Source organism: Homo sapiens, chromosome 3, assembly GCF_000001405.40.
Source record: "Homo sapiens chromosome 3, GRCh38.p14 Primary Assembly".
Classification (NCBI taxonomy): Eukaryota; Metazoa; Chordata; class Mammalia; order Primates; family Hominidae; genus Homo; species Homo sapiens.
Window position 1 is genome coordinate 177,417,976 of NC_000003.12, and position 9,827 is coordinate 177,427,802.

General features: G+C 42.9%; 1 annotated feature.

Annotated features, from left to right (window-relative positions):
* Positions 2,480-2,569: an enhancer, noted in NCBI's record as "active region_20846". NCBI's record gives its function as "activates an Ori minimal core promoter by ATAC-STARR-seq in GM12878 lymphoblastoid cells {active_cell/tissue: GM12878}" and the evidence as "EXISTENCE:reporter gene assay evidence [ECO:0000049][PMID:35858748]".

Genomic DNA, 9,827 nt, shown 5'->3' on the forward strand with positions numbered 1-9,827 from the left:
TTCATGTCCTTGATACTCTTGAAGAATCCTGGTCAGGTATTTTGGAGACTGTCTGTCAATTTGAGTTTGTTTTCTTGTGGCGAGATTAAAGTTCTCTGTGTTATATCAGGGGCTCGTGATGTTGATGTGTTTCCCTGCTGGTGATGTTAACCTTGACCACTAAATTAAGCTGCTGACTGCCAGACTCTCCACTGCAAAGTTACTGTTTTCCCCTTAATAATTAATAACTGCCTTGGGAGAGATACCTTGAGACTGTGCACACATTCTCTTGCTCTTCAAACTTTCACCCGTGAATTTCAGCATCCATTGGTGGAGCTTGCCCGTGGTGGTGATTACCCCGGGGGGGTTTCTAACAGTGATTTTCTGTTCCCTTTTCTCCTCTTCTTACAGAATTGGAATTCTTCTGGAAGCGACAATCTTTATTTTTGATAATACCGGATAAAATTTACCTGTGACTTCCCAAGAAACCTTTATACTTTAATTGTCACATTTCCATGAAAAGACTTTTTTTTTTTGCTTATTACAAATGAAATACAAATTCAATAACAAAAAGCCAAAGATAGTAGAATTTAAAAAAAGTGTAGTCTCACCCAGAGACAACCATCTTAATGTCTTAGCATCTATTTTTCCATATATTTTTCTATGCATCTATATGCATGTATTAACAAAAAGCAAATCATGCCATGCATTTAATTTGAAAACCTGCATCTTTCATTTAACAATACATTTTTTATTGCAATAGGTACATTTCCATAACATCATTTTAAAGGATGGCCTAATGGTTATTCTATGAATGTCATAATTTGTTAAATGAATCACTTACTAGATATTTTGGTTGCATTTTCACCTGTCCTTTTTGCCAACACTGATGTAATGACCATCCTTGTACTATCATTTTTATGTATAGACAATAATATGGATCAGGAACAGCAGTGATATTTATCAGACTCTCATACCTTGCTGGGCATAGTGCTGAGCATTTACATGTTTGAGCTCATTGTAACCTCATGACAGCCTTGTGAGATAGGTATGAGTGTTACCCCTATTTCACATACCAGGGCAGTGAAGTTCACATTCTGTAATTCGTTCAAAATTTCATTGAGCTAATCAGTGGCATCAGGACCTGAACCCAGATTCTGTTGATGTCAAGGACTGGCTCTTAACCACTGCTCTACATTGATCTTTAAATTATTTCCTGAAGCAGATTCCTAGAATTGGAATTTTTGGTTAAAAGGGTATGTGCATTTTAAAGACTTTTTGAAACATAATATCTAGTTGCCTGCCAGAAGAAAATCTCATCAAGTTTATCCTTTACTCCCCGTGCAGGGGTGGGTGTGTGTGCTCATTTTCTGGAACCAATACCAATCCTGAGTATTCTAATTAAAAAAACAAAAAACAAAAAACAGCAACAACAAAAAACTCTTGTTAAGGAAGGTTTTTAAAGGGGGCTGTTCATATAGATGAGAGTCTGGTGTTACTGTTCGTGGCTAACCAAACTTCCCCTTGACTTCCTGATCCAGAATTCCAAGGCTTTAGGGAATAGAAAACAAAGAAATAGTATTTGTTTTTTTGTTTTGTTTTGTTTCGTTTTGTTTTTTTGAGACGGAGTCTCGCTCTGTTGCCCAGGCTGGAGTGCAGTGGCACGATGTCGGCTCACTGCAAGCTCCGCCTCCCGGGTTCACACCATTCTCCTGCCTCAGCCTCCCGAGTAGCTGGGACTACAGGCACCCGCCACCACGCCCAGCTAATTTTTTGTATTTTTAGTAGAGATGGGGTTTCATCGTGTTAGCCAGGATGGTCTCTATCTCCTGACCTTGTGATCCGCCGGCCTCGGCCTCCCAAAGTGCTGGGATTACAGGTGTGAGCCACCACGCCCGGCCAAAAATAGTATTTGAAGAAGTGAATGAAGAAATGATTGGATACACCTGCCTCTGCTAATGGCCTCAGCTTGGCCACCTCCCACGGCAGTAGCTTGGGAAGGGGGTCTGAGGGAGTGGCCACTGTTCCCACCCTGGCCTCCATGAAGGAAGGGACCCTGCCCACTGGAGGAGGAGAGAATAAAGGAAAGCCTATGGCCTGGCTTTGTCCTTTTCAATCTCACACTCAGATATGCAAAACTGTAATCTTTATTTTCTTATAGTAAATGTAATTTCTGACTTGGCAGAAAGTTTTGATTTTAGTCATTTCCAAGTAAACTCAATCCAGTTCAGAATTTTCTCTGCAAGTTCAGGTTTATAATTCAGTCACATTCACGTTAAAATTCCCCCTCAGATCTTTTTAGTCTTCCTCCCCCACCTTCCTGGGGCATATTCTAATCACTTAGATGTTTGTGCAACTGCCTCATTGTCCTCAGAGGAGGTCACTGTCTGCCTCTTCGTTGTGACTTGTCTTGGACTTTTGCTGCCCTGCCACTCCAGACACATTCTCTGATGGCCACCTGGACAGTCTGTAGGACAGCGATGGACTTCCCAGGGCTCCCCAGGGTGGGAAACGTGCTCAGATGCAACCTCATCTGCTGTTGTGTGAAGGGAACCTCCCGCCTTCTTCTGCTACATGGCACTTGTCCCAGCCTTAGCACGTCTCTCAGCATTGCTTTTTTTGTCCTTCTAAGAGCCCAAGGCAATACTTCTTTATAAATACATTTACAACTCAGAAAAAAAATTGTCTCCAATCACATGTCCTGATTTTGACTCAGAAAAATCTGTTTATTATACCTACAGCTGACTTGGAAATATGGGAGGGACTATAGAAATATTGTTTCAAAGATCCAGTAGATAGATTCTTATCTATCCCTTTTACGCATAAAAGCAACTACATTTCTCCCACTTGGACTTGTGTTGTCCATACAAATGTTTATTTTGATATATGAATGCACCCTTGGCATTCACTGATTTAACATTCCTGGTTTCCACTATTTGCAGATGACCCAGAAGATTTATGACGTGGAGCAATTTGTTCTTCTGCTCCAGCACAGATTTGAATCACATGCTGTCTGGCTGCAGTGGCCTGGGAGACACTTAGCTGGGGTGTACACTTAGCTGACTGCCCAGAAGCCCTGCCATGCAAATTCACTATTTTGATTTCTTCTTACATATTCTGTTATTTTCATTATGCATCTAATTACAATGTTTTAGTTCATTTCACTGCGTTTAATGGGAGAAATTCTATTACGTACTATGATAAATTTCATGAATCTAGGCTTTTGACAAGTACTGACATGTATTCCTTGGGGATACATCTAGGGTGTGTACCACAAGGCTTCCCTCTACTACCAATAATCCTGACCCCCTGCTCTCCCCACGAGGGTATGCTTGTGCTTGGAGAAATGCTCACAGCAAGGCAGGAATGCAGGGATGCTGGAGCAGCAGCTTGAGCACCTGGGAGTGGCCAGAGATCACTCAACTACCTTTGTACCAGGTGAACAGCCAACCTGAAAACTCTGCAGCCTGAGTTTCTTCCCTCTGAAGGCAATAAAGTGGCCACATGCCTACGCAGGAAGGAAGAAGAGGAATGGGGCAGGCAACCTGCAAACTCCAGCCCCAGCTTGCTCCAGCCCAACCAGGAGAATCCATGTTGCCAGTGGCCAAGGCCAGCTATCTGTTTACTGAGACTCCAAATGTGACTCTGAGACCCGCCCCCTCCAATCACATGGGAGCTTGTTAAAAATAGAGATGCTCAAGTCTCATTAAATCCAAATCTCTGGGGGTGAGGCCTGGACTTTGTTAGTATTTAAAATATCTCACATGATTCTAATCTGTGCTGGGACTGAGAATCACTAGGCCAGAATAATAGCTTTTCTTGACCCTGAAGAGACTGGTAGCATGGCTATGTGCTTTCTATAGGCCAGAGACACTTCACAGCCACATTATACTCCAGATATTCCCAACTTGGATACGACTATGTCTTCGCAATTGATGTCCACCTTGCTGGCTATCCCTTCTCTGTGAAGCTCACTTCTATTCATTCTTCAATACTCAGCATGAGCATCTCCTTCTCTAAGAGGCCTTTGCAATGACCTTCCCTCCCAGACTACCACTGTCACCTCCACTTCCTGGCTGGTTAGACACTTCTGTGTCCCCAAAGCCCCAGTACTCTGAATGTTAGCACCTTTCACATTGTTTCTTTCCTATGGACCTTGTAGGCCTGTATTTTTCATCTCTTCTCCTCTAGCTCTTCACATGGTGCATGACACACACATGCATGTACATGCATCCACATGGGCACATGGCTACACACGCACACATGTCCACATGGGCAGTCACTTGCAGTGACTGCTACATGAGTGGACCAAGTTCAGATTATAAAGCCCAAGACCTCAGAGGTTGTATTAAACAGAAGGAAAAAATGGGTTACTCAAAGTTAAATGATGATATCTACTTAGATAAATGAAAAACAAAAGTATGACTTTTTTTTGTTTCCTCTTGAAATGGAGCCTACTATTCTTTGTGTAAAGTTATGGGGCAATGATATTAGCACTGTGGTTCTCAACTTGGTAGCACATTGGGATCACCTGGAGAGTGTCACAAACTACTGATGCGTGAGTCTCACCCCAGATATTCTGATTGAATTGGCTTAGGGTCCAGGTGATTACAATGAACAGGAAAGTTTCAGAGCCCGTCATCCAGCGCTCTGTCTCAAACTTGAAAGTGTCTTAGGAGCCACCTGTGGAGTTTGTGAATTGGGCAGAACCGTGGGTCCTGTCTTGGAGATTCAGATTTGGAAGGACTGATTTGTTGACGGTTAGCAAACATCCCAGGTTATTCTGATGGGGGTGCTCCTCCGCCAGGCTTTGAAAAGCCTTGACTTAGGCAACTGGCTCTGAAACCTTCTACCAGAGCATACTGATAGCTGAGGGGAAGGCTCATGTTTGAGTTTTCCAGGCTCAGCGTTTCCCTTTTCACAACTCCAATATCTCTACAGCGTTACACCTCAGATGCACACATGCACATATCGTTTCTATGCAGTATTAAATATTTGTGATTTTAAATCATACTTTATATCTCTCCTAGGGAACTGCAACTCTCTGGGGCTGGGATTATTCATTTTGTTTTTTCCCTGCTTATACTTGGCACAGCGCCGTGCAAATAATAAGTGCTTAATAAATGTTGGTAGAAGGAAAGGGGTAGAAAAAGTATTTAGGTGTTGTTCTGACTCAGCAGCTCGCCTAATTCAATTTAAAACAAAAGATGGCCAGGAGAGGCGCATGGAAGGTGACATTAGTGTGAATTCACATCAATTTCTAATATTTTCAGTTATAAGGCCAGGCTTAAAACATGTTTTGAAACAGTTTCTTGAGGTGTACATTTTAATTGCCAAATCATTTTCCTTCTCCCCCTGCCCCAGATGTTTACAGTAGCTGCCGTCTCAGTGAAATGGAGTTAAGGAGGAACAGTGGCAGGCTCCAGTTTGCTCAGCTCGGAGGGCATGTTCCATTAGAACTCTTCTCTCCCATCTTATTTAGGTTCTGAAAAGCACTCTCTGAAGCCTGGGGAGGAGGCTGCCCTCCCCGCTGCCATCCTCTTCTGTTTTTCAGTTAAGATGTCATTTTGTCCTTCTGAAACTGTCCTCCTTCTTCATCTCCACACCTCCGTGGTGAGGAGAGAGGCGGGCTTTAAGGGGCTGGCAGCTGTGGCCTCCCTTGCCAGTCTGGCTGGCTGGCCTCCTCCCCTCTGAGGCTGGGGTCCTTGGTTTGTTGTTACTGTGAAGAGGGTAGGGCTGCAGGTTTGGGGATGGGCAAGTCCCTCTCTGGTTTCCTTGCATATCTTTCCCCTTCTGTTCTGTTGTCTACTCATTTCTAGGTCTTTACCTGGAAGACAGAAGCTCTTCAGTAAGGAAAATCTGGGGACTGTTGCTCCCTCCCCACTTGGCACAGGGTGAAGGAGAAGGCTCTAGACTAGGCCTACAATCTGCTTCCTGCCTCTCAGTTGGACACTGGGTTTACTAATACAGAACGCGACCCTCCTTCTTAAGTCTTGGAAATCATCTCTTTCTTTGCACGGATACAGCAAACTCTTTCTGTAAAGGGCTGGATGGTCTCTGTCACAACTACTTGACTCTGCCGTTGTAGTGAAAGCAAGGATAGATAACACATGAACAAATAGTCATGGGTGTGCCAATAGAACCTTATTTAGGGACACTGGACATTTGAATTTCATGCAATTTTCACGTGTCACAAAATATTCTTATGATCTTTCAGCCATTTAAAATGTGAAAACCACTCTTAGCTCACAGGCTGTACAAAAACAGTCAGCAGGCCGGATTTAGCCTGTGGTCTGGAGTCTGCAAACCCCTGTAGAGTGCCTTTAAAAGAGAAATAAGGAAGAAGGAATGGGGATAATTTTTTTTCCATAAACTATAATGGAATGCTCTCTATAGACCCATGCATATGGGCTTTAGCATGTGAAAGGGTCTCTAGGAGTCTAGAAACCCAGTGGGTTGAGCATTCTTATCTGGAAACAGCTTCTGAACTATGTTTAGTAAAGGTTTTAGAATATGATCGAGGGTGCATTCCTTTGTCTCTCTAAATCAAATATAACTTGCTCTGAGCCCACATGAATGTGACTGGTAGAAAGCTCAATCTCTGATTAGTCGTTTTTTTGGGGATTATATAAGAAATCGGGTTTGTTTGGTACTCACAGGGCACAATGGAGATGCCCGTTTCCAGGCCATGGTGCTGCCTCCTGTCATTACTCTGCACTTTCTACTTGGTGCTGGTGTTGAGGCTGGTTGCCTGGTGACACTGGGAGTTCAGGCAGACATTTGCTTCCTGTTGACTGCTGTGGACCTCACCACCTGTTGTGCTGTCAGTGTCCCCTTCTACAGGAATCCTGTGGTATTGGGAGTGAAGCATGGAAGAGGAAGCTGTGTCTATTATCATGGGGGATCTTTCCATCCACTAAGAAAACTCAAATCCAAACAAAAGCCTTCCCATCCTAAAGCTCCTCAACTTTTGTCTCCACTATGCTTGATCTCTCTGTTTCAGCCTAATGAATAAGACAGTTTTCTCTATCTCCAAATCTCACCAACCCTTCTCTATTCACGGGCGATTCCAGAGAAATTTCTCTTTCTGGGTGAAGTATACAAAGACCTGAGATATTTAGAAGCACGACACTCTCCTCTTTGGGGGTCTGGGACTGTAATGGGAAGGGTTAGGAAAAGGAGATGCTAATATTAGTTAATTTCTTTCATAATAACACACCCTTTTATTTCCTTCCTTTGTACCAGTCCCTGCAAGAAAATGTCCCAGCAACTTCTTGGTTGCCTCATGACTTCCTTCTTCTTTAGGGGTTTGTCCTGGTTGGAAGCAAAAATTAGAAAGAGATGAGTCCTGTAGGAACAGTGGACGTTCATATATTATTTGAAGAACTGTACTGGAATCCTTAGTCTTTTCAAGTTGAGTCAAGTTTTTTCTTTCTTTTTTTTTTTGAGACAGAGTTTCGGTCTTGTTGCCCAGGCTGGAGTGCAATGGCACGATCTTGGCTCACCGCAACCTCCACCTCCCGGGTTCAAGCAGTTCTCCTGCCTCAGCCTCCCGAGTAGCTGGGATTACAGGCATGCACCACCACGCCTGTCTAATTTTGTATTTTTAGTAGAGACAGGGTTTCTCCATGTTGGTCAGGCTGGTCTCCAACTCCCAACCTCAGGTGATCCATCCGCCTCGGCCTCCCAACAAACTTTTTCTTTAAGCATTCATCTTTAGAGTGTTATCTGAATAGGAAAAAGTAGTTTTAGGCCAAATGTTGAAGAGCTGGTGCTAAGGAGTCTGGACTGTATTTTATAAGCAATGGAGAACTTTATGGAGAAAGACAACACACTTGGATTCTTTCTTTTGGGTAAAACTCGGCAGCCGTGTGGATGCTGGATTAGAGGAGAGCAATCCAGAGGTGGGAGCCTGTTATTTGACTCCTCCAATAATTTACTCAACCCACGTTCAGATTCTTTACACACACATCTGCCCACCGCTTTCCCTAGATTGGGATTCTCTCAAGAGTAGAGATTGTTAGCTTCAATTTTAACTCCCTCCACTCCCAGCCCCCAGATCCTCGAATGTATTAGCTTTCACATTTTTGGCAGTTAATAAATATTGACTGAATTAGATTAGTCCCAAATGAGCTCTTAGAATAAAAACACTCAAAAATAAAGAATCTCCATTTTTCACAAAGTTTTTACTGTGGTGTGCTGTTGGAGTGAATCACCTTAGTCAAAACAAGCTATTTTGGCAATAAAACCAATGACAGACTTAGGTAAAAACTTCCCCCTCCCCCACATGTTAATACCAGAAACTTAATTCTCTACTCTGTTTTATAATATATATCCATGGCAATAGACTATTAAAATCGCATTCTCAAGTTATAAATACCATAAACCACATTTTCACATGGTGGCCTAGCCACTGTCTTTTGCAACAATTTGGCATGGAATTACAAGTAGCATCCATTAAATTTCATATGCCCTTTAATTTTTTTATCTCTTCATTTGCATGCATGTATTTTATAATCATTCATTCTGGTAATAAAACCCACAGGATCTTAAATTGAACTGAAGTCCCAGATGCTTTAAAAGAATTTATGTTGCATAATTGTACTGGTTGACCTGAAAACAAACAACAACCTATGATTTAAATATTCTGCCCAGGAGCGGAGTCAAACTCTTCCTTAAAATTCTGTGGTTTCTATTGACCGACTTATTGTGAGGGAAAGATTCAGAAAACTAAAGGGACTATAAAAATGACAAAGCAAAGGAAGCAGACAGTAGTGGCTTTCTGAAGATTTTATCATCTAGAACCATATGCATATTTCAAATGAAATATTTGTGAAGCAGCTACAGAGCTTATTCCCCAGTCAGGGAGGGGAGTCAGTGGATTAACACCAATGATTTGTTTATGGAGACAAAGGAAAATAACTCTACTTACTTCAACAGGAATAACCTGAGAAAGCCTAGGCAGGAGAAATGTTTAGTATTTGGAGGAACTTCCCAGGACTTGAATTTGTTGTCCATTTTTATGTAACAAAATACATCCAAACTTAGCAGCTTAAGGCCACAGATATCTTTTTCTGTGGCTCAGGGGCCTGGGAGTATTTTAGCTGGGTTGTTCTGGCTTAAGGTCTCCATGAGGTTGCAGTGAAGCTGTTTGACAGGGCTGCAGTCTCACATGAACACTCAGCTGGGGAATGATCGTTTTCTAACTCACTCACATGGTTGCTGACAGGTTTTAGTTCCTTGCTTGCTGTTGGCTGGAGACTTTAGTTCCTCACTCACCGTGTGTGCCTCTCTGAAGTGGCCTAAGCGTCTTCATGATATGACAGCTGGCTTTCCCCAGAGTGAGTGATTCAAGACAGAAACAGAAAGAAAGAATACCCAAGTCGGAAGTTGCACACTTTTACTAACCCACTGTCAGAAGTGCTGTTATATGGGGTTGGTTATCCAGACCAACCCTGGTACAGCGAGGGAGCGTATAACACGAGGGTATGAATCCTGCAGGTGGGGGTCATTGGTGGGTATCTTAGAGACTGCCTCCCCCAGGGTTGGACTGGGTAGGGACAGTGACTCAGGGCCACAACCTGGAGATGGCTTATAAATCATGCCCTTGTTTGATGAAATGTTAAAGAAAAAGAGGAGAGAGGGCTGAAGTAACAAGGTGGCTCTCAGCTGCCTTCCTTTTCATCTTCTACCCAATGCTACATCTCCACACCTTTTTCTTTGAGCTGTTCCTGGAGAACACCAGAATAATGACTGGAGAGAACCCTTGTTTAGTCATCAGGAGTCATGTGATCTGGGTTTAAATGTGGTTTGACCACGAAAAACTTGGAGGCAGAAGGATGTATTAT